The following is a 27,584-nucleotide window of genomic DNA, read 5'->3' as shown; positions in this document are numbered from 1 at the left end:
GCCAGCACGGTGAAACCCCATCTCTATTAAAAATACAACAATCAGCCGGGGATGGTGGCGCACACCTGTAATCCCAGCTACTCGGGAGGCTGAGGCAGGAGAATCATTTGAACCTGGGAGGCAGAGGTTGCAGTGAGCTGAGATCGCACCACTGCACTCCAGCATGGGTGACAAAGCAAGACTGTCAAAAAAACAGTAACAACGACAACAAAACAGACTCCAATATCATCTACAGGAATATGAAAGAAAAAAATGAGACTATTTTTTCCAAAGTGGTTGTGCAATATTATACCCCAGTTCCAGCTGGCTCACATCCTTGCCAATAGCTGGTATGATCAGTTTAATTTTAGCTATTCTCATAGGTGTCAAATAGGTATTTGATTGCAGTTTTAATCTGTATTTCCCTAACGACTAATAGTGTTGAGCGTCTTTTCATATTTGCTGTCCTTTCAGATACATATATATGTACATGTACACACACACACACACACAAGACGAGGTCTCACTCTGTTGCCCAAGCTGGAGTGCAGTGGCACAGACACGTCTAACTACAGCCTCGCCCTTGTAGGCTTAAGCAATTCTCCTAACTCAGCCTCGTGTGTAGCTGGGACCACAGGTACACGCCATTGCACCTGGCTAATTTTTGTAAAGACTGGGTCTCACTTTGTTGCCCAGACTGGTCTCAAATTCTCCGGCTCAAGCAATCCTCCCGCCTCGGCCTCCCAAAGTGCTGGGATTATACACATGAGTTACCATGCCTGGCCCATCCTTGTATTTTTGCTGGTTACATGTCTGTTTCACATTACTTCCTGACATTAATGCACACAATTCTCACCTGTTGCAGAAGTACATCAATTTTGTCTGTTAGAACCTGAATTTTTTCTTCATTTTTGCCTGTTGGGCCAGCGGCCTATTGAAGACAATAAAACGTATTACCAACAAGTTGAAAACAAAGATAAACATGCAAACTTGCACATACCATACATAATATTTCTATTTAATAATTAAAATGCTTAATTGAAAGGATAGTAATTCAATTATCTTCAACTTCTGTTGGTCAATCACATATTGTCAGTTACTACTATTTAAGGGAAAAATCTTGGCCTCAAGAAAAATAAAAACAAAGAAAAATCTTATGGTTAGCAAAATCAGTGTTATGTTTGCTAATAAAGACTGGAAAAAAAATGAATGCCCTATAAGTTTCATATCATTTTAAAGAACAAAGTAATGAACAGAAGACAAGTTTCAAAAATATTAGGGAGGTCTCTGAATCTCCAGAAAACAAGGACCGTTTACAAAGACTGAATTGACTTCACTTACCCCAGAAGACTGCTGGTTTTGAGATAATGCCAAACGAGCATGGCCTCGTCTGATCCTACGTTCTACTTCTGCAAGTAAGCTCTGTAAGTATCGCAAAAAATCTCTCTCATAGCCAACTTTCATGAAACGAGAGCTCTTCTCATACCTGGTAACATGAAAATAAACAAGTACTCATTTCCAAATCTTCAGCCATTACAACTCAAATATTCTATCTTAACTAGCCTCAACGACTATTCCATTTAGGCTGCAGGGTAAACCAGGTGTATTTGAAGTGACTTTCTGATTGCCCCTCATCATAGAGCTTTACACAGGGGTTTAACCACTAGCTTTACCACTGTACTGGATCTATGACCCTGGACCTAGGACAAGTCTCATGGATAAAATCGGGGCTGGGCATGGTGGCTCACGCCTGTAATCCCAGCACTTTGGGAGGCCGAGGTGGGTGGATCACTTGAGGTCAGCAGTTTGAGACCAGCCTGGCCAACATGGTGAAACCCTGTCTCTACTAAAAATACAAAATATTAGTCAGGCATGGTGGTGGGCACCTGTAATCCCAACTACTCGGGAGTTTGAGGCAGGAGAATCCCTTGAACCTGGGAGGCGGAGGTTGCAGTAAGCTGAGATCATGCCACTGCACTCCAGCCTGAGCGACACAGTGAGGCTCATTTAAAAAAAACAGCAAATGGGCTACAGAAAAAAAAAGTCTGACATACAGGGTGCACTCATGTGGTAGCTATCAGTATCATTACTGAAGCTATAGAACTTTCTTACTATCCCCAGCCACTGACTGGACTTCTCTCAGACACTCATTTTACATTTAATTGCAATTATTCCTCAACCCTTGTCCCACTTAAACCAACTAATAACTGGGGGGGTGGAAATGACAAGCAAAATAACTTACTGTTTTCGTAGATTTTCATCATGAATTTTTTCACACGGACCTGGGGGAAAAAATATAATTGTATAAATTATCTGTGATTATTAGCAACCTTTTCTTGCCAAAAAAAAAGAGTTATTTTTCTTTTTAAAAAGAAAAAGGATTCACTTTATCACTGAGTAGTTTGTAGACATCTAAACTGATCCTACTAAATCATGAAGCATCATAACCAAATAGGATATAAAATTGATCTGCTCAGTCTTCAAAGTCAATATAATGGACAGCAACCATATATGGTTAAAAGAGAAGTAAAGGAGGGAGGGAGAAAAGGAGGGAAGGTGAAAGGAAACTGTTCCTTATTGCCACTAAAGAAAACTGATGGGGACAGACCACTGAACTGAACCATTGCCGACTTTATTATTTTCAAATCTGTATATAAAGTCAAATAGCACTAGACTAGTACCTAACCCCTACTTCTTCCCACCTCTAAAAAGCAATTATCTTAACTCTTCTCTATTTCTTCCCGAATTTACCTCCACCTTTTAAAATTCTATGCTTATTTTGCTATTTATCAATCCTAGACATCAAAATTTTTGGATAAATAAACACTTGGTGCTTATATTATGCAAGTACTATTCACTGTCAGGCCAAACAAAGGCTCATTATGAGACACTTCTGATGTTTTCTGTTGTTGTTGTTGTTGTTTTGTTTTTTTTGAGATAGAGTCTTGCTCTGTCGCCCAGGCCGGAGTGCAGCGGCGCAATTTTGGCTCACCGCAACTTCTGCCCACCAGGTTCAAGGGATTCTCCTGCCTCAACCTTCCAAGGAGCTAGGATTACAGGCACCCACCACCATGCCTGCGTAATTTTTTTGTATTTTTAGTAGAGACAGGATTTCACCCTGTTGGGCAAGCTGTTCTTGAACTCCTCACCTCGAGTGATCTGCCCTCCTTTGCCTCCAAAAGTGCTGGGATTACAGGTGTGAGCCTAGTTTTTTCTCTATATTTTCAAATTCTTCTCAAACACTTCAAACTCAGCTATAGAAACTATCTCAATACTAATTTCACATATGACTCAAAATATATCACATCATCAGTTTCATTTTCTTCCATGGGCCTTCTGCCTTACTTCAATCTGGGATACTTATTTTCTAAGCTCACTATAGAATTATTGTCCTGATGAATTCCTTTTCTGCTCTGTAGTAGATGAGAATTACTGGATCTCTTGTTTTTTCTTTCCTCTTTCTCGGTTTATGGACATGTTTTGGTGGAGTTTCCTGAGAAAAGGCCCGTGGGAGATAAATCAGTTGAGACCCTGTATATCTGAAAATGTCTTTTTCCCCCTCCGGCAGACACATTTTCACTCAGCACCCTGAGGATGTTTCTCCAATGTCTTCAACTTCCCCCGTTGTTACTGACCAGTCTTAGGCCATTCTGATTCATAATTCTGTGACCTACACCCACCCCCACCACCCCCGTGTTCTAAAATTTCACAGGGGTATGCCTAGGTATGGATCTTTTTCATTCACTGTCCTGATCACTTGTAGGACCTGCTCAACCTAAAGATGAATGTCCTTTAGTACTGCAAATTTTTTTTCTTAAGCAATTCCCTCTGCTTTTATTCTGTCCACAACTATTAAGCTGGTAGTACAGTTCCTGGACTAAGTTTTTTAAAAATCCTTCTGTCGTACTGCCCAATATTCCAGTAAATTTCCTTAATTTTATTTTCAAATCTTTCTGGTGATTTTAGTTCTATTTCTTCAGTTTTAATTTCTAAGAGCTGTTTTTCAGAAAATGTTTTTCACTTTTTCCACAAGTTCCCTCTTTATGGCATCGTATTATTGCTGAAGAATATAGTGTCTTCTCATATGTCTCTGAAGATACTAAATTTCTTAAGATTTTGAAGAATCTCTCTTCTGCTTTCCCCATTATCTCCAATTCCACTAAATTCTTCTTTCTCTGTTGGTTTTGTTAATCTCTTGTGTTGAAGGCTTTCTTCGAACGTCTGGCTGGTGGTCCTTGGCAAGCAACTAATTTTTTAAAAAGACACTTCCAAAATCTGACTGGAAGTTAGTAGGGATTAGGCAGGGTTTGTCAGCTCATGAATGGGCTTTATCATAGGAAAATCAGGCAGTAAGACTTTCTTTTAAGAGATTCCCCAAGGGTCAGTACCTGCAGAGATCACTTCTCAGGAACTGTTCACTTTCTCTAGAGAAGAATCCTCTTTTCTTCTGCCTGGGGAAAAACATCTGGCTGTATCCTTCTAGGAACAGGGCAGAGGAGAGCCCCACCAATAAAAATATAGATTCATTTACTCTGTTTTACATTCTTTTTTTAACTTACTACTGCCCCTGCTGTGTCTGAAATCTCAAGATCTAGACTGGTCCTGCCTTAATATGCTCCTAATGCTCTAAGGCAAAGATTGTACATAATGAATTGACTTCTTTTATGTATCCAGAATGATCCTGGTTATGTACCATCCTTGAGAGAATTGAGGAAATAGTCAATTATTTTTTTCTATTTTGTGGTTCAGATAAACTAGTCTCTCTAGTCCAATTTCTCCAGAAAATAACCCTCTCTTCTCCTGGGGTCTATGGGGAGGAGAGTAAGATCAACAGATGCACAGGACCACCTACACTAGTGGCAATTTTGCATCCTGGGGGACATCTGGCAATGTCTGAAGACATTTTGGGGTGTCACAACAGGGGGTGCTACTGGTTATCTAGTGGGTAAAGGCCAGAGATGTTGCTAAACATCCCACAATGCATGAAAAGCCCCCTCCAAAACTGGCTCAAAATGTCAACAATGTCAAGGTTGAGAAACCCTGAACTAGACTACAGACTAATCTCTCTCATTTTCAGCCCCATGACTCAACCCTGCCTTCTGTGGTACCTGGTGCCTCCAAATCCTGAGCCTGTCCAGGGTTCTGCTGATCAAACACTCGCTTCTGTTTAGTATCCCCTTCTGCAGGCTTTTAGGGTACAGGTTGCTCTGCTCTGTTGCGTTTGCTGCTACTCCTCCATCCACTTGTCATCTTCCAAAAATTTGCTGACATCTCTAATGTTATCTCCTCTTCCAAATACATCTTTTTAAAATTTTTTTCATTTAAGTGGAGTTTTGGGAGGGAGTGGAAATAGACATGTATGTTTAATTAAGCCACCATGTTTAATCAGACTGACATTTATTAATACATTCAAATATCTAAACCAAGTAAGAAATTACTTATTAGCAAATCTTTAAGAAAAAACTTCACAGAATTATAATCAGTTTTTTTCCTTTCACCACTCCTATTCAACATTTTAAATATCATAAATTTGATAAAAGTTACACAGAAAATTCACTTACCAAGATCAGAACGTGTATTTGTGAACAATTCCGCAGGACAAAAACCACAGAGATAATATTTACAAACCTAGTAAAGAAAAACAAAGGTACTTAAAAAATTGCTTGGTTTTAAAACTTTATTGGAGAAAGGTGCCAAATAACTATTTTCTCATTTCTTGAGGTATGTATGTTTCAACCAATGTAAGAATTTCATTTGTTGAATCATATTAGGTAAATTAGTGATTTTCAGACTCCTGAATTTCGATAAAAGAATAAATCTGCAGTACTCGTATTACTAGTATTTTCTTTATCTATTTTTAATCATCACCTGCTGACCCCCCAGTAGCAAAAACAAATATGGGAAAGACATCCCAAAATAAAGGGCAATTTTTATATTTTTAAAAACTCTTACGCTATTCTTATCATTTCATCTCTTTCATAGATTAGGGCCTATTTACAAATTAGGATTTGGAAATAACCATCTAAATCACAGTTAACACTCATTTAAAGCAATTTGGCACCATCTTTTTGCTTAGAAGATCCTTAACACATCAGCCTCCCAAGTAACTACAACTACAGGTGCAAGCACCATGCCTGGCAAATGTTTTAAAATATTTTGGAAAGATGGGGACTTGCTACATTGCCCAGGTTGGTCTCAAACTCCTGGCTCCAAGCAATTCTCTTGGTGGGTTCCCACAGTATGGGGAAAAACTATTAACATAAAACCAATGTTTAATTCTCTCCCACTGGTACTTTTGTAACTCCTTCAGATATATTCCAAAACTGCTCTATCCCAAATTTAATTTTATAACACTACAAATCAAACCATGTAAATCAAAATTCCAAAATATCACCTTTCCTTCACACAAAACTTCACTGTTACTAGGTGGATTATTACTATATATTTTTTTGAAACAGAGTCTCACTCACTCTGTTGCCCAGGCTAGAGCACAGTGGCACCATCTCAGCCCACTGCAAGCTCCGCCTCCCAGGTTCAAGCAATTGTTCTGCCTCAGTCTCCAAAGTAGCTGGAATTACAGGTATGTGCCACCATGCCCAGCTAGTTTTTGTATTTTTAGTACAGACAGGGTTTCACCATGTTGGTCAGGCTGGTCTCGAACTCCTGACCTCAAGTGATTTGCCCGTCTTGGCCTCCCAACGTGCTGGGATTACAGGTGTGAACCACTGTGCCCAGCTCTGGGGAGATTATTAATGCACAACTATAACACATGAAAAGAAAAGGCAGCGTTGGTCAGGCATGGTGGCTCACACCTGTAATCCCAACACATTAGGAGGCCAAGGCAGGAGGATAACTTTAGCCCAGGAATTTGAGACCGGCTTGGGCAACATGGCAAAACCCCATGTCTATAAAAAATACAGAAAGTAGCCAGGCATGGTGGCACAGTCCCAGCTACCCAGGAGGCTGAGGCAGAAGGATTGCTTGAGCCTGGGAGGTCGAGGCTGCAATGAGCCATGATTGTGCTATTTACTGCACTCCAGCCTGGGCAACACTATCACACCCTGTCTTGAAAAAAAGAAAAAGAAAAAGAAAGGAAAGGCAAAAGGAAAACGAAAAGGAAAAGGGAAAGGAAATGAAAAAAAGGCAGTGTTAAATTTAAACCTGAAAGTTCTTTCTAGACAGGACTGGGTGCTAAATCTGAAATAGGCCTTTTTTTTCCTCAACGGCTTTACACTCATTTGAAGCAATGTGGTTCCATAAGCTGCATCCAGGATTAAAGTCATAAAACATATCTAAATATTCATGTTTAAACAACCTCACAGACACGAAAGTTTTTTTTTTCTTTTTTTTTTTTTTTGAGACAGAGTTTCGCTCTTGTTGCCCTGGCTGGAGTGCAATGGTATGATCTTGGCTCACCGCAACCTCTCCCTCCTGGGCTCAGGCCATTCTCCTGCCTCAGCCTCCCAAGTAGCTGGGATTACAGGCATGCGCCACCACACCCGGCCAATTTTGAATTTTTAGTAGAGATGGGGTTTCTCCATGTTGGTTAGGCTGGTCTCGAACTCCCAACCTTAGGTGATCTGCCTGCCTCGGCCTCCGAAAGTGCTAGGATTACAGGCCTCACCGCGCTCAGACGTGAAAGTTTTACTATTACTGTGAATTTTATCTTTACTTATAAAAATTTCATTTATATTTCCCATTTTTACAATAATACATTCTAGGGTTTTGGAGAGATTCTTTCTAAAGACTCATTTTATTGTTTTCAATAGGACTTCTAATGGCCTCATGACCAATTTAAAACTATTGTTCCATAAGTTTAAGCTAGGCAAGCCACTAGTTTTATGCCAATATTACTCTGATACAGCTTTATGTCTTAGTATCTTTCTACTGTTTTCTTTCCAAGTTATTATACTTGATTTTTAAGATTATTCTTTGCAGCTGGGCACAGTGGTGCAGGCCTGTAGTGCCAGCTACTTGGGAGGCTAAGGCAGGAAGATTAGTTGAGCCCAGGAGTTTGAGGCTGTAGTGTGCTAGGACCACACCTGTGAACAGCCACTGTACTCCAGGCCCTGGCAACATTAAGTGACAACTCGTCTCTAAGAACATAATAAAAGTTTTAAAGGCTGGGCACAGTGGCTCACACCTGTAATCCCAGCACTTTGGGAGGCCAAGGCGGGAGGATCACCTGAGGTCGGGAGTTTGAGACCAGCATGACCAACATGGAGAAACCCCGTCTCTACTAAAAATACAAAATTAGCCAGGCATGGTGGCGCATGCCTATAATCCCAACTACTCGGGAGGCTGAGGCAGGAGAATTGCTTGAACCTGGGAGGCGGAGGTTGCGGTGAGCTGAGATTAGGCCATTGCACTCTAGCCTGGGCAGCAAGAAAGAAACTCCATCTCAAAAAAAAAAAAAAAGTTTTAAAAAAGATTATTCTTTGTAACTTAAACATTGTTGTCACAAATAGTTTATTTTAAAAAGACTATATGCTATCTAAAGCTAATGTTTTTAAAAATTATTTCTGAAGTTCCACTGCTTGTGATGCCATATGATTTTCTAATTCTTAAAACATCCATTTTGTTCAACTTTGTGTTCACTTTAAATGCAACACAGTAAAATACCAATGCCAATACTCGATTTTTATAAACATTTCTTTGAGAGTTTATTTGGGGGAGGGAGGATGTGGCAACAATTATGCCACTTTTACTGTGACCTAACCTTTCAATTATATTAACCCTGTTTTGAAGACTCAAAAATTTCACACAACTATATTTAGTAAAAGTTATTGCCAGAATCTATTATTTATAGCCATAAACTGTATGGTTATAAAATAATTTAAAAACTAAATTTTGTGTGCCATCCTCACACACATGAAAAGTCTTACTATTACTGTGAACTGGCTGCACGCCTGTAATCCCAGCACTTTGGGAGGCTGAGGCGTGCGGATCACGAGGTCAGGAGATTGAGATCATCCTGGCTAACACGGTGAAACCCCGTCTCTACTAAAAATACAAAAAATTAGCCAGGCGTGGTAGCGGCCGCCTGTAGTCCCAGCTACTCGGGAGGCTGAGGCAGGAGAATGGCGTGAACACAGGAGGCGGAGCTTGCAGTGAGCCAAGATGGCGCCACTGCACTCCAGCCTGGGCGACAGAGGGAGACTCTGTCTCAAAAAAAAAAAAAAAAAAAAACTAGCCAGGCGTGGTGGCAGGTGCCTGTAGTCCCAGCCACTCAGGAGGCTGAGGCAGGAGAATGATGTGAACCCAGGAGGCGGAGCTTGCAGTGAGCAGAGATCGCACCACCGGGTGATAGAGCGAGACTCTGTCTCAAAAAAAAAAAAACAAAGTTTTACTATTACTGTGAATTTTATCTTTACTTATAAACATTTCATTTCTATTTCCCATTTTTACAGTAATATATTCTAGGGTTTTGGAGATTATTCTATCTAAAGATTAATTTTATTGTTTTCAATAGGACTTCTAACAGCCTCATGACCAATTTAAGTGTTTCGTAAGTTTAAGGTAGGTAAGACACAACGTCTATGATCCTCAGAAAGGTTCACCATTAAAAAACAAAAAAACGAATAAACACATCTCTACAGTCCCTCCTGACTCTCAAGCATGTGAAATTGGTACACTGCAACACAGCACAATGAATCTTCGCCGTTGCTTATCTGCTAAAGAACCAGGGGTACCTGGCGGGGCTCATGCCTGTAATCCCAGCACTTTGGGAGGTTGAGATGGGAGGACTGCTTGAGCCTCAAAGGTGGAGGTGGCAGTGTGCTGTGATCACACCGCTGCACTCCAGCTAGGGTGACAGAACGCAACCTGTCTAAAAAAGAAAAAAAGAAAAAGAACCAGAGGTCGTAATTCTGCCTTGGTTTCTTCATAGTATTAAAAAAGGAGATAGGCTGGGCCCAGTGGCTTATGCCTGTAATCCCAGCATTTTGGGAGGCCAAAGCAGGAGGATCATTTGAGCCTAGCCTGGGCAACATAGTAAGACCTTGTCTCTAAAAAAAAAAAAAAAAAAGAATGAAAAAAATTAGCCAGGTATGGTGTCACACACCTGTAGTCCCAGCTACTTGGGTGGCTAGGGTGGAAGGGTCGTTGGAGCCCAGGAGGTTGAGGCTGCAGTGAGTGGTGATCATGCCACTGCACTTCAGCCTGGGTGAAAAGGGCAAGACTCAAATAAATAAGGAGGTAATAAATTTCTTATAGTGGGATTGTAAAGATTAAACTGTGTACATTTGCTAAATTGGAAGAAAAAGGTGTTAGCCTGTATGTAAAAGCGAAAGCAACTCCATCTTGGGTGTTAAAGTGCCAGGCTGACTTCCGATTAACTCCAATTCCAGGAATGCCCCTAAGATTTCTACTTTATCTACTGTTCCTTGTGTTAAGAACATGTACTTACTGTAAATCCTGCCCTTAGGTCAAAACAATTTCGATGATTTTGTACTTAACATAAATCCTGCCCATAAGTAATTATCCTACACATGCCTTCTGAAGCACAGATACCCTTTCCCTATGGCATATAAGCCCTGGGTCTGGGGATATGACATCTTGTCTTGACGCCAGCAGCTGCCCAAGACACAGACCTGGCTTCTGTTCGTAGGTCCCTATTACATGTTTCCAAGACACTGGATTTGTCAGCCTCTTTCTTTGGCCTCTCAGCTTCTTCAGACTCTGGGGGTAGGTTTCCGTAGACCTGTCCGCTGCACATTATTATTTTAAATGTTTTTAGGCACTGTGTAAACCAAATAACACATGCCTGTCTGTGGGCTAACCAGAAGCTACCTAATCTAGTCCAATCACCCCATCAGAGACCACATGACCTGCCCTGACAGCATCCAGCTATATCTACAGAATCCAGACTAGATTCCATTTCCCCAATCCAGTTCTGAGTGTTCCTTCCACTCCAACTCTCCTGCTTTACCATTTAATGGTACATCAGAATTATCTGTTACTCTACACAATAAACCAGCTACCTGGACTGCTTCTTTTAACTCTCCCCAGAGAATGATTTTAACTAAAAATATTAACAAGTGATCCGAAAAAATGGGAAGAACATATTTGGGTTCTTCAAATAAAGTCATCAATAATGATAATAAGAACAAACCCAGAGAGGCCAGGTGTGGTGGCTCACACCTGTAATCCCAGCACTTTGGGAGGCGGAGGCAGGCGGATCACCTGAGGTCAGGAGTTCAAGACCAGCCTGGCCAACATGGTGAAACCCTGTCTCTACAAAAATACAAAAACTGGCCAGGCATAATGGCAAGTGCCTGTAATCCCAGCTACTTGGGAGGCTGAGGTGGGAGAATCGCTTGAACCCGGGAGGGAGAGGTTGCAGTTAGCTGAGATCGCACCACTATACTCCAGCCTGGATGACAGAGAGAGACTGTCTCAAAAAAAGAATAAACCCAGAGAATTCGTTTCTTACTTTTGGATATAATCATGAGAACTGCTCAAGTTTTGGAATACCAGCAGTCTTCATTTAATAGTAATCCCCAAAAGATATAAATGCTTATTACAGATTAATACCCATGCAAACTCTCTAAATACCTACATAATCATAACTTATCCTCTTAATAAATTTAAGGCAACACTAGTGACAAGTGTTCAATCTCATCAACAGTTTTTATTTTTATTTTTTTGAGACAGAGCCTCACTCTGTTGCCCAGGCTGGAGTGCAGTGTCACGATCTTGGCTCAATGCAACCTCTACCTCCCAGGTTCAAGTGATTCTCCTGCCTCAGCCTCCCAAGGAGCTGGGATTACAGGAGCATACCACAATGCCTGGCTAATTTTTCTATTTTTAGTAGATGGGGGTTAAGCCATGTTGGCCAGGCTGGTCTCAAACTTCTGACCTCAAATGATCCGCCCACCTCAGCCTCCCAAAGTGCTGGGATTACAGGCATGAGCCACAGCACCAGGCCCATTAAGGACATCTTAATGATTTTTGTCTTTCTATATCTACTTAGATCCAACACTAAGCAATACAATTCTCCTTTGAGCTAATCAAATATTTTCAATGCTGTCTGCACTATTTTTAGGTCTTTTTTTTTTTTTTTTTTTTTTTTTGGAGACAGAGTCTTACTGTCGCCCAGGCTGGAGTGCAGTGGTTCGATCTTGGCTCACTACCTCTACCTCCCAGGCTCAAGCAATTCTCGTGCCTCAGCCTCCCAAGCTGGGATTATGGGCAACTGCCACCATGCCTGGCTAATTTTTGTATTTTTAGTAGAGATGGGGTTTTACCATGGTTGATCTCGAACTCCTGGCCTGTCTGCACTATTTTCGTTAAACTGCTTATCATAAAGATAATAGACTGGAAGTGGTGGCTCACGCCTGTAATCTCAGCACTTTGGGAGGCTGAGGCAGGCAGATGGCTTAAGCTCAGGAGTTCGAGACCAGCCCGGGCAACGTGGCAAGACCCCATCTCCACCAATACAAAAAAATTAGCCAGGGGTGGTGCGGGCCTATAGTCCCAGCTACTCAGGAGGCTGGAATGGGAGGAGCCTGCTCAAGCAGTGGGAGGACTGCTAGAGCCCAGGAGGTGGAAGCTGCAGTGAGCTGAGATTGTGCCACTGCACTCCAGCCTGGGTAACAGAGCCAGACACTGTCCCCACCTCCCCACCCCCAAAATACATACATATATATATATATATATATATATATATATATATATATATATATATATAATGTATTTATATTCAATATATACTTCTGATTATCTAAACACTGGCAACACAACTCATGTTGGAAACAGTAAAACTGACAGGGACTTAAATTTTAAAAATCTAAATAGCCAATCCTAATTACTATATACAGTAAGTCCTTGAATAATGTGATGAGGGGAAAAAAAATTATTCCCAGCTGGGGCTAACTGTGTAGGAGTCTGCAAGTTCTCCCCATGTCTGTATGGGTTTTCTCCCAGTACTCTGGTTTCCTTCCACATCCCAAAGCTGTGCACGGTAGGTGAACTGGCATGCCTAAGTCCCAGTCTGGGTGAGTGTGGGTGTGTGAGTATGCCCTGTGATGGGAGGGGATCTTGTCCAGGGTTAGTTCCTGCCTTGCATCCTGGGCAGCCGGGATCAGCTCTGGCCACCCACCACCCTGAACTGGAATAAGGAGGCTGGAAAGGAATGAATATATTGTATATTACAATGAAATTATTGTAAAATAAAAGTCTGTAAAGCATATGATAATCATACAAATGCATGAAAATAAACAGCATAGTCCAAAAGTGGTGAGTTTACCATCTTTATTATTGTGTTGGAACTGAATGGAGGTAGGAGGTGCTTCTGACAATGTTCAAGTTGTAAACATTTATTCCTTGACTTAACTCACCACCACTAAAATTGCCATCACTCACTGATTCACCAAAAACTGGGTAATTACCTCGCTTTTATTCATCTTTCTTAAATGTATGTATACCTCAAATTTATCTCAATGTTTGATATCAGAAATGTTTTGGGTCTTTTTAGTTATGTTTCTGTAACCAGAATGTGCCACAGAAACCTAACTCTTCTTTATATTAACTAGTCTATGGTAAAACTTTTGTTATATGTCATTTCAACTGAAGTCATAGTTTCCAAGAACCCATTAACGACGTTAAATGCAGACTTACTGTATTCTGAAACAGGACATATTACTGGAATACCTCAAATGCCATACACATACAAATATTAATTTAAAATCCAGGAATACCTGGAAATTTTATTGGTTAAAAAAAAGGAACACAAGCCAGCTGCAGTGGCTCACACCTGCAATCCTAGCACTTTGGGAGGCCGAGGCAGGCAGATCACTTGAAGCCAGGAGTTTGAGACCTGCCTGGCCAAAATGGCGAAACGCCGTCTCTACTAAAAATACAAAAATTAGCCAAGCATGGAGGCACACGCCTGTAGTTCCAGCTACTCGGGAGACTGAGGCACGAGCATCGCTTGAACCTGGGAAGCGGAGGTTTGCAGTGAGCTGAGATCGCGCCACTGCACTCCGGCCTAGACAACAGATCAAGACTCTGTCTCCAAAAAAACAAAAACAAAAACCAACCCTACACGCTGTAGTCTTTTGTCACTTCTGCCTCAATATTAATAGTTTAATTCTGATTATGACAGTCTATAAATATTTTTTTTTACCTAAGAGTTCAATTCACTGTGTTAAAGATAAACCCCCAAAGAAATAATTTTTAATAAAAGAATTTATAACAAAAATTATGTCCCTGATAACATATAGCTTTATGTTTCAGTTATACCACGACCACACATTCATTTCCATGCCTTTAATTTTATTACGTATACCTTTGCAGGTATGATTCACTATTTATTGCCTACACAAACTTCTAGTAAAATTTCAATCAATCTTCCACAGCAGCCAGTTAGTAAACATCTCTCTTCTGCTTAGAAGCCTTCAGTTATTTCCCAATGTAATAAAATCTAAACTTTCAACAAGGCTTATAAAAACTTTTTTTTTTTTTTTTTTGAGACAGATCTCGCTCTGTCGCCCATGCTGGAGTGCAGTGGCGCGATCTCGGCTCACTGCAAGCTCCGCCTCCCGGGTTCACGCCATTCTCCCGTCTCAGCCTCTCGAGTAGCTGGGGCTACAGGCGCCTGCCACCACACCACGCCCAGCTAATTTTTTTTTTTTTTTGTATTTTTAGTAGAGATGGGGTTTCACCATGTTAGCCAGGATGGTCTCGATCTCCTGACCTCGTGATCCACCATCTCTGCCTTCCAAAGTATTGGGATTACTGGCGTGAGCCACCACGCCCGGCCTATAAAAACTATTTAAAACCAAGTTCTTGCCTACCTATCTACACTACCCCACCCAACAAAAACATACACACTACAATACTATTTAAAATTTGCCAAATTCACCGATTTTTCTCCAGCTCTTCCTTCAGGCTGGTAAGGTGTCTTCTCTCTCCTCTCCCTCAGGCTAATTCCTGCCAATCCTTTAGGTAAATGTATTTAAAGACCACTTTGTCTGACAGGCCTTTCCTGAGTATCCATCCCAATCTGGGTTATGCACTCCTTTCCTGTGTACACTATACAGCTGACCTTTGAACTCGGGGGGCTGGGGCACTGCTATGGTTTGGATGTGGTTTCTTTGGTCCCAAAAAAAACATTCTTGTGGGAGTGAATTCCCATTCTTAGTTGACTGGAAAATTGGTTGTTGAACAGAGCCTGGCACTCTAGCCATGTGATCTTTGCGCATGCTAGCTCCCCTTCTGCCATGAGTGGAAGCAGTCTGGGACCCTCACCAGATAGGTACCAGCTACAATGCTTCTTGTACAGTCTGGGGAACTGAACTAAATAAACCTCTTTTCTTTATAATTATCCAACCTCAGGTATTCCTTTATAACAACTAAGAGAGTTACTGACCCTAACTCCCCTAAAACCTAACTATCAAAAGCCTACCACTGACTGGAAGCCTTACAATAACACTAACAGTTGGTTAACACGTATTTTGTATATTATTTGTATTATATACTGTATTCTTTTTTTTTTGAGACAAAGTCTCGCTCTGTCAGCCAGGCTGGAGTGCGGTGGCATGATCTCGGCTCACTGCAACCTCCGCCTCCCGGGTTCAAGAAATTCTCCTGCCTCAGCCTCCTGAGTAGCTGGGATTACAAGCACCGGCCACAACGCCTGGCTAATTTTTGTATTTTTAGTAGAGACAGGGTTTCACCATGTTAGCCAGGCTGGTCTCCAACTCCTGACCTCAAGTGACCGCCCACCTCGGCCTCCCAAAGTGCTGGGATTAAAGACGTAAGCCACCGTGCCTGGCTATATACTGTATTCTTACAATAAAGTAAGCTAGAGATGTGCACTGTAGAATGTTTAGGGAAAAAAATAACTATAAGTAAGCTAGAGAAAAAAATGTGAAAACACATTTACAGTGCTGTATTTATCAATACCCTAAGTTTAGGTCATCTGTATACAAAAGATGAATTGTCTCAAATGCCAGCAACCCCAGGTGCAGATCTCAGTCTATCGTACATATCAAGCAATTTAACTTCTTGTACTGTCATGACTTTTCTGCTTCTTCGGAGCACTTCCAATGTCACTAGCTGCACTTCGTATGGGTCTCAGGGCGTTATTCAAAGGTCATGGTATTGTACATAGGCCAGGCGCTGTGGCTTACACCTCTAATCCCAGCACTTTGGGAGGCCAAGGTGGGCGGATCACTTAAGGCCAGGAGTTCGAGCCCAGCCTGGCCAACATGACAAAACCCCATCTCTACTAAAAATACAAAACTTAGCCAGACATGGTGGTACACGGCTGTAATCCCAGCTACCTGGGAGGCTGAGGTATGAGAACTGCTTGAACCTGGGAAGCAGAGGTTGCAGTGAGCCGAGATGGCACCACTGCACTCCAGCCTGGGCGACAGAGCAAGACTGTCTCAAAAACAACAACAACAAAAAGCAAAACAACAAGTTTATACGGTATTGCAATAAACAATGATGAAAATACACAAGAACCAAGGGATAATTTTTTACTGTGATATGCAATTTACTTTAGACACCAACTGCTCATGCAGAGATTATCAAGAGTCACAGGTCATAGGGCATTTTAAGTGGAGCCTGGCAACACTTGAGCTCACTGTAATAGCAACAGGTGGCTACAAAATTATTACAGTATTACAGTATGTACTATAGTTAATTTTATGCAGTTATTACTCAAGCTTTACTTTCTCTGGACTGCTAGTGGCACCATGTACTGTGTGCATAAGTTTTTATAAAGTTTAACTTTTTATGATTCGTATGTATTTTGTGGTAGGAAAATGATAAACTAGTATATACATCTATTTTATGTATTTGTGATGTACTTATCTTTTCTTAAATTTTAAAAATATTTCTAAGCTATGTGATTCGTCTTCAAGTTTTTTCAAATTGTTGCAAATCTCCAAAAAATGTTCCAATATATTTATTGAAAAAACTCCACGTATAAATGGACACACTCAACTCAAACCCGTGTTGTTCAAGGGTCAATTTTACTTTTCCCAATGGTAGGATTTATCATATTCTGTTATGGAAATGCGTTTACATTCAATTGGAATAATCCCCATTGGAAAAAAAAAGTGCATTTACTGTCACCAATACATGATGGCTCTTTAGGACCAAGTGCTGTATCTGTACTATCCTGCTGTTATCTACCTAAGAGCAATACTTTTAATTTTTTTTTTGAAATGGAGTCTTGCTCCTGTCACGCAGGCTGGAATGCAGTGGCGTGATCTCGGCTCACTGCAACCTCCACCTCCCGGGTTCAAGCGATTCTCCTTCCTCAGCCTCCCGAGTAGCTGGGATTACAGGCGTGCGCCACCACACCTGGCTAATTTTTGTATTTTTAGTAGAGACAGGGTTTCGCCATGTTGGCCAGGCTGGTCTCAAACTCCTGAGCTCAGGTGATCCACCCGCCTCAGCCTCGCAAAGTGCTAGGATTACAGGCGTGAGCCACCGCTCCCAGCCGAGCAATACATTTTTGTTGGATAAATGAATACAACAATTTTCCTAACTTACTATAAGAAATGAAGAGAAAGGCTGGGCATGGTGGCTCACCCCTGTAATCCCAGCACTTTGGGAGGCCGAGGGAGGATCACTTGTTGTCAAAAGTTCAAGACCAGCCCGGCAAACATGGTGAAACCCCATCTCTACAACAACACAAAAATTAGTCAGGCATGGTGGCATGCACCTGTAATTCCACCTACTCTGGAGGCTGAGGCAGGAGAATCGCTTGAACCCGGGAGGTGGAGGTTGCAGTGAGCTGAGATCACACCACTGCACTCCAACCTGGGCAACAGAGCAAGACTCCATCTCGGGGGTAAAAAAAAAAAAAAAAAGAGAAAATATTTCATAAAACGAAGAACTGTATTAGCAAAAAAGTCAAATTTACAAACTTAAGCTACCTTCTCCTTTTGTGAGGAAATCAAGGCTAATAACATATATAATGACACACACACACACACACACACACACACACACACAATTTTCCTAAAGCAACCAAAGATTTACGAAATACCTTACTATAATTTTCAGTGATTATGGTATTGTGGTTATTTTATTCTATTTTTTTTTTGAGACAGAGTGTCACTCTGTTGCCCAGGCTGGACTGTGGTGGCACCATCTCGGCTCACTGCAACCTCTGCCTCCTGGGTTGAAAGGATCCTCCTGCCTCAACCTCCAGAGTAGCTGGGATTACAGGAATGCACCACTACGCCCAGCTAATTTTTTTATTTTTTATTAGAGACAGGGTTTCACCATGTTGGCCAGGCTGGTCTCGAACTCCTGGCCTCAAGTGATCTGCCTGCCTTGGCCTCCCAATGTTGAGATTACAGGTGACCCACCATGCCCGGTCGGCTATGTTTTTTTTTTAAAGTCCTTGTATTTTACAGATATACAATGACCGCTTTAAGGTTGACAATAACAGAATTGCTTCAAAATAATGGAAGGGATACAGAGGAAATAATATTGACTATGTGCTAATATTGCTAAATTGGGCATGGGTACATGGGGAGTTCAATTTATTATACTATTCACTCTAATTCTGTATGTTTTGGGAAGAAAAGCAAATAGCAATTACATACACATATAACACATGGACTGCTGGCAATTCTGAGAAGCCAACACTTACTATTTTACTATGGAGTAAGGTAGGAAATGCCAGCCGGGCGCAGTGGCTCACGCCTGTAACCTCAGCACTTTGGGAGACTGAGGCGGACCGATCACTTGAGGTCAGGAGTTCAAGACCAGCCTGGCCAATATGGCAAAACCCTGTCGACTAAAAATACAAAAATTAGCCGGGCGTGGTGGCCCACACCTGCAATCCCAATTACTCGGGACGCTGAGGCCAGGAGGTGGAGGTTGCAGTGAGCCAAGATCATGCCACTACACTCCAGCCTGGGTGACAGAGCTAGACTCTGTCTCAAAAAAAAAAAGGGGGGGGGGCAGGGAGCAGGGTAGAAAATGCTTTTCTATCTTACTCCATAGTAACATAGTAAGTTACTATGAACATTTTGGTGACTCTGAATGAAAACTAGTAAAATACATATTAATAGATGCCATCATGCATTATAATTACTAGTTTTTTGCTTTCAATTTTTGCTCCCAAATTCTGAACATTTTTAAAGCAAAAAGAAAAAGTATACAAGTAAAAAATGTGGACAGAAGCTTTAGCTATTTTTCCTTTTCTAAACAACTTTTCAGTGTCAATGACAGTATCTGCTAACATTCCAAAGATTTTAGAAAAGAACATAGTTCAATTTCCTTCATAAATTATTAAACCTTCATGTTAAACCTTCATGGAAGGAAGGGTAGGCTTGAGTTTGATAAATGGAAGAAAACTCATTTCAGATATTAGAATCAGTGTTAATGATTAAGTAATTTCATTTTCAGGTTGAGATCTAGAATATAAAAACCTCAATTTGAACTACAAAATTTCTGTCTTGCTACATAAAAAATAACAAAACTCCCGATCAGACTTTACAATTTACTACAATCTTCTAATAATATGGCTACTAGTGCCTTCTCTGGCTAACACTGAAATCAAACCCTCACTGAAAGGTACTCACCCTAGGCAGTTAGTTACAATCACATGCTTTCCTCATCACTGTGGTTGTTTAGGATTAACCAAGCAATTGCTTAGTGCAAAAAACCAAAACAATAATCTCAAACAATTGCAAAATACAAATAAACACGGTGGGAGGGTGTACCAATGAATCCATGAAACAGTATTAAAGCCGACTTCACTTTAGCTGCAGTTTCTCAGATCCAGAGGTAGCAATCTACAAAGTTGGAAATGCCTGTAAAAGCACTAGCCCCAGTAAAATACCTTGGTGAAGGTTACATACACACCATTACAAATAAATGGTCGATGATTTTGCATCACAGATGCATCCTTCACTTGAAACTGCGCTTCGCAAGTGCTGCTTGCTCACTTATTACCCATCATGAAAAGGAGAAAAAAGTACAGTATTAGAATCTACTACCAAATTAATACCAATTAAGATTTAATTGTGCAGATATGCACAATTAAAAGCCCAGGACTAATCAGGATGGGTCAGGAAACAGTAGGTCACAAACTTTAGAATGCATAAGAGGAGCCGGCCGGGCGCGGTGGCTCGCGCCTGTAATCCCAGCACTTTGGGAGGCCGAGGCGGGCAGATCACGAGGTCAATAGATCGAGACCATCCTGGCCAACATGGTGAAACCCCATCTCTATTAAAAATATAAAAATTAGCTGGGCGTGGTGGAGGGCGCCTGTAGTTCCAGCTACTGGGGAGGCTGAAGCAGGAGAATCGCTTGAACCCGGGAGGCGGAGGGTGCAATGAGCCAAAATCACGCCATTGCACTCCAGCCTGGGAGACAGAGCAAGACGCCGTCTCAAAAAAAAAAAAAAAAAAAAAAAAGAATGCATAAGAGGAGCCATAAAAAATGCAGATACTGGGACCCTTCCCCAAGACAGACAGAATCTGACTCTCTGGGAAGGGGAGTTGAAGGGGTTGAAGTACAGAAATATGCATTTAAAACAAATTCCACAGGTCAAATACAGCTATCTAGGGACTACCTTTAATACTAGGTAAAGTTAGCATTTTGACTGTTAAATACTTACAGATGCCACGGCAACTGTCTTTTAATTAATGGTTGCTTCCTTTCCTTATTTTGGTATTTATCTCTATTCCAAAAAAAAAAACAAGGGCCCCATCCAGCTGAAATGGCTTCTTCCATTTAATGCAAGTATGGCCAAGAAAAATTTCCAGATAGAACAGGAATGCAAAAATATGTTAAAATATTAGGCTATAGAAAAGGTGACTCCTTTTCAGCATATAATGGGTTTGCCCATCCCTGCAGGTTTAGCACTAACAGCCAACAGTACAAGAATATGCAGATGACCCGGAAACGATATCAACAGCTTCCCCAGCTTCATTATACAATAATTCCACCTATTTAGATGAGACCATGTGCTTTGTTTTTGCTCAACACTACCAACATTTTCCCTGCAGATATCAATCTGAAATGCCAGTAACTGACTTGAAATCCTTCAATCTAGAGTGAAGTGCAATCTGTCATTAAGGCATTAAATACTTTAGTAATAAACACTGAAAGTTAAAATTAGTGAAAAGTACTAAAACTGAAAGCAAAGCAGATTACGGCTGAGATGACATAAAACCTAAATTGCTATTCTGAGGGCCTCATCATTGAAGAGTCATAAACCCATCACATACAATGCAATGTGGCAACAAATTACCCCGGGAAAGAAAACAGTTTCTCTAAAACGTGTTCAAAGTCAAGGGTGCAGAGATACAAGGCTGTTCCAACTGATAAGGAGTGCAATGGAAAGCATTTTTCTCTTGAATTCAAAATATACAAATAACCTATTGAACATAAGCCAAATCGCCATAATGTTTTGGTTTTTTACCTTACTTAGGATTTTGAGCGTTATTCCTAACACATTTGCAAAGTTTAGACTGAAAGGTTACAGAGTCAGGTAGTTAAAAAAAAAAAAAGTTACTTCGCTATAACAAAGATGCCTACAAAAGAAAGATGGTCAAGGTAAGCAGTTCCTTAGTCTCCTATTGTGACAAATGGTCGGGGGGATGGGGAGCCTAAATGTTAAAAACAAAAAACCCACCTCTTAAAAACAATAAATTCTACTCTAAGAATGTTTCATACTACTTTGGAATCAGTTAGCACCCCAACACAACTTGAGCCAAACTTACTCTTTCTTAAAGTCCTAAAAGGAGTCATCTAGCACCAACTTGCTTTCCTACACTGCAAAAAAGAAATTTTACCTTAACCAAAGCCTACGTTTAAAAAGAGTAAGAAAACAGTTTTCTAAAGAAGCATGCATTACCTGAACTATTCCTTCCTATTTTGATTAGCAATTGTTTTAAAATTAGCATGTTAGATTATAACCTCAAAGTAAAATTAAATTCTGTATCTATTCTCCAGATAAGACCTAAAGTAAACATTACACTGCATGTTCAAAACTAGATCAAAACACTTGAAATGCTACAGTAGGTGCAGAGAACCAGTTTCATAGGATTGTGGAAAGCTAACAGAACTACAAAGATTAGTTTCCTCAGTTGCCAAGACTTTGGGTGAGCCTTTTTAAGTCTCACCAGTGAAACTGGGGTTATAATATTTACCTTTACTCCCCGGGCTAAGAGCATCAAATGAGTTTTATGTGGAAGAAAAAACCTTGACAGCTGCCTCTATAAGGGACTTCTTAGAATACTGTTAACGAACAATACTTGTAAATCATCACGGTAAACCCTAACAAGTAAACGACTTCTTTTACATTTCTATTTCCCCGTATAAGCGTCATGCTGTAATTACTTAAATAAAATACCGCCACGATTTTTACCATGAATCCTGGTCAGAAATTTTAGTCTAAATACGACGTTCAACCCAAACTATAGAAAAATGTGCCCTTCTCCCTATTTCATAATGAGGTGAAACCTCGGAGCCGCTAGATTTAATAAGACGCTGCTATCCTTCTTTCCCGCGTTTCCCCGCCTCATCAAGGTGCTTTTCAATTATGCCAAGGGCTCTCCCGGACCCCCTTGATACTAGAACAACAAAACCAAATCACCCCCATCCCCGGGTCCGGACAGCATCCTCCCTCCTGGCTCCATGGGCACCGGGTCAGACGCTCGACCCCGGGTGCGGCCCTGGCCACATCGCGCCGCGGCCAGGAGGGCCACAGCCCGCGCCCGCTCCCCTCCCCCACGGAGCCCGGGCTCAGGCCAAGGCCCGCGGGACTTACGCTCTCGTGGTCCCACCGCACGTTGCTGCGCTTCTCGTCCGGGGCTAGGTTTCGGTCCCGGCCCATTAACTCATCCAACAACTGCGCGGCCGAAATCATGGTGCTTCCTTCGGGCGGCTGTTCCCACCAGCCCAGGCACCCGCCAACGAAAACACGGGCGACACCGTCGCCAATCTCCTCGGCCCGCTCTCAGGCCGAAATCCCTCCTACACACAGGAGCCGACAAGACAAAATGGCCGCCGCGCGGACGCCTTCCCAGCATGCCGTGCGCCCGTGGGACACGCCCAGGCCCGGGCGGAGAGGGCGAGCTCGGCTTCCGCCGTCCGGGGGCGGGGCCCGCGGAGGCCGGGTAGGGACTCCGCCCCTGTCTAGAGGCCGCGGGGACGGGTAGCCTCTGCCCGCGCGCCTCCCCAAGCGCCCGGTTTTCCCGAGCTTCTTCACGGTGAGAAATTGGAGCCTAGGTCTTGAAGCCTGGACACCGCTTCAAAATGGAGAAAGTGTCTCCTTTAGTCCACGTGGTGCACATGGTGCCTCATGCAGCGGAGGAAACTGAAGATTACGGCTTCCGACTCCATTTTCCTAGTCGCTGTGCTCACGCCTCTTGCACCTGGCTTTGTCCTCCCGCCCTGAGTCTCCTGATTAACAGGATGGGAAATCGAGGCAAGAAGAGACAAGGCGGCTTCTAAAATACGGGGATTCAGTCCTACACCAAATGTCTCCCAGTGTGGAATTTTTTAAAAAGATATTGATCCAGTAGGCCAGGTGAGGTGGCTCACGCCTGTAATCACAGCACTTTGGGAGGCCGAAGCGGGCGGATCACCTGAGGTCGGGAGTTCGAGATCAGCCTGACCAACATGGAGAAACCCCGTCTCCACTAAAAATACAAAATTAGGTTGGCGTGGTGGCGCATGCCTGTAATCCCAACTACTCAGGGGGCTGAGGCTGGAGAATCGCTTGAACCCGGGAGGCGGAGGTCGCGGTGAGCCGAGATCGCGCCATTGCACTCCAGTCTGGACAACAAGAGCAAAACTCCATCTCAAAAAAAAAAAAAAAAAAAAAAAAAATATATATATATATATATATATATATACACACACACACACACACACACATACACACACACACACACACATATATATAGATAGGTAGATCCATTTATTCAACAAATGGTATGTGCCAGGCACTGTGCTTAAAGCTAAACTCAGAACCTTTCAGACAGTCCATGCTCCCGCAGACCTGTGCATTGGCGAGGGGAGATAATCGCTGAAGAAATAAAGTCACAAATATATCAACGTATGTTGGGATAATGCTTTAGCACAGTTAAGGGTATGGTCTCTAAAGCCAGATTGCCTGGGTTCGTAATCCCAGCTCTGCCGCTCTGTGCCTTTGTTTCCTTTTCTGTAAAATGGGGTTTACAATAGTCCTCCCCCGGCCCCCAGCCACGATGCTATTGTGAAGATTAAATGAGTTTATACAATGTAAGGCACTACACATTGATAACAAGCCCAACACTTTTATTTTTGGGGGGACTGGGTCTGGCCCTGTCACCCAGGCTGGAGTGCAATGGCACGATCTCAGCTCACTGCAGCTTCAACCTCCCGGGCTCAGGCGACCCCCTCGCCTCAACCTCCCCAGTAGCTGGGACTACAGGCGCATGCCACCACGCCCGGCTAAGTTTTTGTATTTTTGGTAGAGACGGGGTTTCGCCAAGTTGCCCAGGCTGGTCTTGAACTCCTGAGCTCAAATAATCCACCCACCTCAGCCTCCCAAAGTGTTGGGATTACAGGCGTGAACCACCGCGCCCGGTCGTGGACACCTCTTTTTAAGAAGGAAAGCAGCAAAATAGGGTGAGAACTCAAAGGAGGTATGGGACATGAAGCCTTTTTTTTTTTTTTTTTTTTTTTTTGAGCTATCGCTCAGGCTGGAGTGCAGTGGTACCATCTTGGCTCACTGCAACCTCTGCCTCCCGGGTTCAAGTTTATCCTGCCGCAGCCTCCTGAGTAGCTGGGATTACAAGCACCCGCCACCACGCCCAGCTAATTTTTGTACTTTTAGTAGAGACGGAGTTTCGCCATGTTGGCCAGGCTGATCTCAAACTCCTGACCTCAGGTGATCCACCTGCCTCGACCTCCCAAAGTTCCCAAAGTGCTGGGATTACAGGCGTGAGCCACCAAGTGGGGCTGGAGCCTTTTTGAAGATAGGAAATTAGAGGCTAGACATGGTGGCTCACGCCATAATCCCACTACTTTAGGGAGGCAGAGGCAGGGAGATAGCTTGAGGCCAGGAGTTTAAGACCTGCCTGGGCAACATAACAAGACGCCATTCTCCACAAAAAGGAAAAAAAAAGAAAAGACCAAAAAAAAAAAAACCCCAAACGTAGGAAATGAGAGAATGTTTAATGTTGGGGATATTCCAGTAGAGAGGTGGAAAATAAAAGAAGGGGATAGTTAATGACTTAAAATCTTAAAAAGGTAACGGGTTGGGTCCTGGCGTGGTGACTCACGCCTGGAATCCTAGCACTTTGGGAGGCAGAGGTGGGTCATTTGAGGTCATGGGTTCGAGACCAGCCTGGCCAACATGGGGAAACCCTGTCTCTACTAAAAACACAAAGGATAGCCAGGCGTGGTGGTGGCGCCTGTGATCTCAGCTACTCGGGAAGCTGAGGCAGGAGCATCGCTTTAAACAGTGGACTGTCAAGAGACTTAGGCTGTAGTGAGCCAAGGTCGCGCCACTGCACTCCAGCCTGGGCAACAGAGTGAGTGAGACTGTGTCTTAAAAAAAAAAAAAAAGTAATGGGTTAGGCTCCAGGGCATATTTGAAACCTCTGGCCTTTGATAGGAGAAAGGATCTTCTCCACTGAAACAAGAAAGAAGAAAATCAATTTACAGATTTAGCAGTGAGATGAGGCAGTTCTCAGCTGTTGGTTACAGTTTTCCCAATGAAGCATTTATTGAGGGCTCTCCACTGTTACTACCACCAAAAAAAAAAAGGCCGGCCACAGTGGCTCACACCTGCAATCCCAGCACTTTGGGAGGCCGAGGCAGACAGATCATGAGGTCAGGAGATCAAGACCATCCTGGCTAACACGGTGAAACCCCGTCTCTACTAAAAATACAAAAAATTAGCCGGGCATGGTGGCGGGCGCCTGTAGTTCCAGCTACTCCAGAAGCTGAGGCAGGAGAATGGCATGAACCCGGGAGGCGGAGCTTGCAGTGCGTCGAGATTGCACCACTGTACTCCAGCCTGGATGACAGACTGAGACTCCGTCTAAAAAAAAAAAAACTGAACCACAAACAAACAGGACTGCACACATCATGAACCGCAAACACACAACCAGATTGCAAAATTACAGTTCCTGCCCATCACAGGTTCTTAATCTAATTATCTCATTCATTCCACAAACTATAATGGTGCATGTGCTCTTTGCCAGGACCTGGGTTACTGGCTGGGAATACAAAGACAGACGTATAAAACCTGGTTCTCCAGGAGCTCCTGACCTATGGGAGACAAATATGTCACAACTACAATTTGGTCTTGAAATGAAAATACTTGGCCCAGCCATGGTGGCTCACACCTGTAATCCCAGCTCTTTGGGAGGCCGAGGCAGGCGGATTGCTTGAGCCCAGGAGTTTGAGACCAGCTGGGCAACATAGCAAAATCCTGCCTCTGCAAAAAATACAAAAAATTAGCTGGATGTGGTGGTACATCCCTGTAGTCCCAGCTACTCACGAGGCTGAGGTAAGAGGATCACTTGAGCCCAGGAAGTCGAGGCTGCAGTGAGACATGGTTGCACCACTGCACTCCAGCCTGGGCAATGGAGTGACACCCTGTCTCAAAAAGAAAGTATTAAATGCCTTTGAATCACAGAGGTGAGAGCGCCTGGCCCTGTCATACACCAGGCAAGTCTTACTCTACAACTCTCTTTTTTCTAAAGTCTGAGGACAAGCCACAGTTCAGTGTGCATTACCACTACAGATAATGAATTGCTTCATTCATCCTTCATTAATGCAGTGAGCCCCAGTGTGATCTGTATCAGATTCTCTGCTATGTCTTGGGATCCAGAGGTAAAAGTAGTCTTTCTTAACAGGTCACAAAGCCCATTTTACAGATAATTTTGATGGATTACAGGAGTTGGCTATTTCCCAATGATGGAATGGGAAATGACTTAATCTTATCGGCTAGTGGTGTCCAGACCCCATTCCATACCTGTTACTAATAGAAAATGTTACGGGCTTCGGGCACAGTGGCTCATGCCTGTAATCCCACCACTTTGGGAGGCCAAGGCAGGTGGATCAGGAGTTCAAGACCAGCCTGGCCAACATAGTGAAACCCATCTCTACTAAAAATACAAAAAATTAGCCGGGTGTGGTGGCAGGTGCCTGTTCTCCCAGCTACTTGGGAGGCTGAGGCAGGAGAATTGCTTGAACCCAGGAGGCAGAGAGTGCAGTGAGCTAAGACCATGCCATTGCACTCCGTCCTGGGTGACAGAGTGAGACTCCATCTCAAAAAAGAAGAAAATGTTATGGGCTGAACTGTGTTCCTGTCACCTCCAAACTCATATGTTGAGGCCTAATTCCTGGAACCACAGAATGTGACTGTATTGGGAGATCGTGCATTTGAAGATGATGATGAAGTTAAAACAATGCTGTTAGGTTGGGCCATAATCCTATCATACTGGCGTCCTTATACGAGGAAATTTGGATACACAAAGAGGCACCAAGGATGCACTTGCACAGAGAAAAAGCCACGTGAGGACATGGTAAGAAGGTGGCCATTTACAAGCCAAAGACAGAGGCCTCCAGAGAAACCAAACCTGCCAACACCCAGATCGTAAACTCATAGCCTCCAG

General features: G+C 42.7%; 1 protein-coding gene across 9 annotated transcripts in view, besides 4 other annotated features; it reads right to left on the bottom strand.

The window, feature by feature from the left end:
• Positions 1-22,964, bottom strand: part of LUC7L3 (LUC7 like 3 pre-mRNA splicing factor) — a 36,617-nt gene extending 13,653 nt beyond the window's left edge. For 6 of the 9 annotated variants that reach the window (NM_016424.5, NM_001330330.2, XM_005257452.2 and 3 more), the window contains exons 1-5: positions 22,736-22,964; positions 5,541-5,607; positions 2,222-2,261; positions 1,321-1,465; positions 836-910 (exon numbers count right to left, since the gene is read on the bottom strand). In NM_016424.5, coding sequence (NP_057508.2) covers positions 836-910; positions 1,321-1,465; positions 2,222-2,261; positions 5,541-5,607; positions 22,736-22,834 — 426 coding nt within the window. In that variant the 5' untranslated portion in view covers positions 22,835-22,964. Of the gene's footprint in view, positions 1-835; positions 911-1,320; positions 1,466-2,221; positions 2,262-4,367; positions 4,459-5,087; positions 5,209-5,540; positions 5,608-22,735 lie in introns of those variants that run through there. The other 3 variants (XM_006721943.3, XM_047436248.1, XM_047436249.1) reach the window with 3 other exon arrangements.
• Positions 17,132-17,631: an enhancer, noted in NCBI's record as "H3K4me1 hESC enhancer chr17:48802297-48802796 (GRCh37/hg19 assembly coordinates)". NCBI's record gives its function as "activates a minimal SCP1, AML or CMV promoter by ChIP-STARR-seq in primed H9 embryonic stem cells {active_cell/tissue: H9 hESC(primed)}" and the evidence as "EXISTENCE:reporter gene assay evidence [ECO:0000049][PMID:30033119]".
• Positions 22,628-22,687: a silencer, noted in NCBI's record as "silent region_8710". NCBI's record gives its function as "represses an Ori minimal core promoter by ATAC-STARR-seq in GM12878 lymphoblastoid cells {active_cell/tissue: GM12878}" and the evidence as "EXISTENCE:reporter gene assay evidence [ECO:0000049][PMID:35858748]".
• Positions 22,858-22,997: an enhancer, noted in NCBI's record as "active region_12388". NCBI's record gives its function as "activates an Ori minimal core promoter by ATAC-STARR-seq in GM12878 lymphoblastoid cells {active_cell/tissue: GM12878}" and the evidence as "EXISTENCE:reporter gene assay evidence [ECO:0000049][PMID:35858748]".
• Positions 23,028-23,257: a silencer, noted in NCBI's record as "silent region_8709". NCBI's record gives its function as "represses an Ori minimal core promoter by ATAC-STARR-seq in GM12878 lymphoblastoid cells {active_cell/tissue: GM12878}" and the evidence as "EXISTENCE:reporter gene assay evidence [ECO:0000049][PMID:35858748]".

Source organism: Homo sapiens, chromosome 17, assembly GCF_000001405.40.
Source record: "Homo sapiens chromosome 17, GRCh38.p14 Primary Assembly".
Classification (NCBI taxonomy): domain Eukaryota; kingdom Metazoa; phylum Chordata; class Mammalia; order Primates; family Hominidae; genus Homo; species Homo sapiens.
This window is presented reverse-complemented; position numbering and strand designations above follow the sequence as displayed.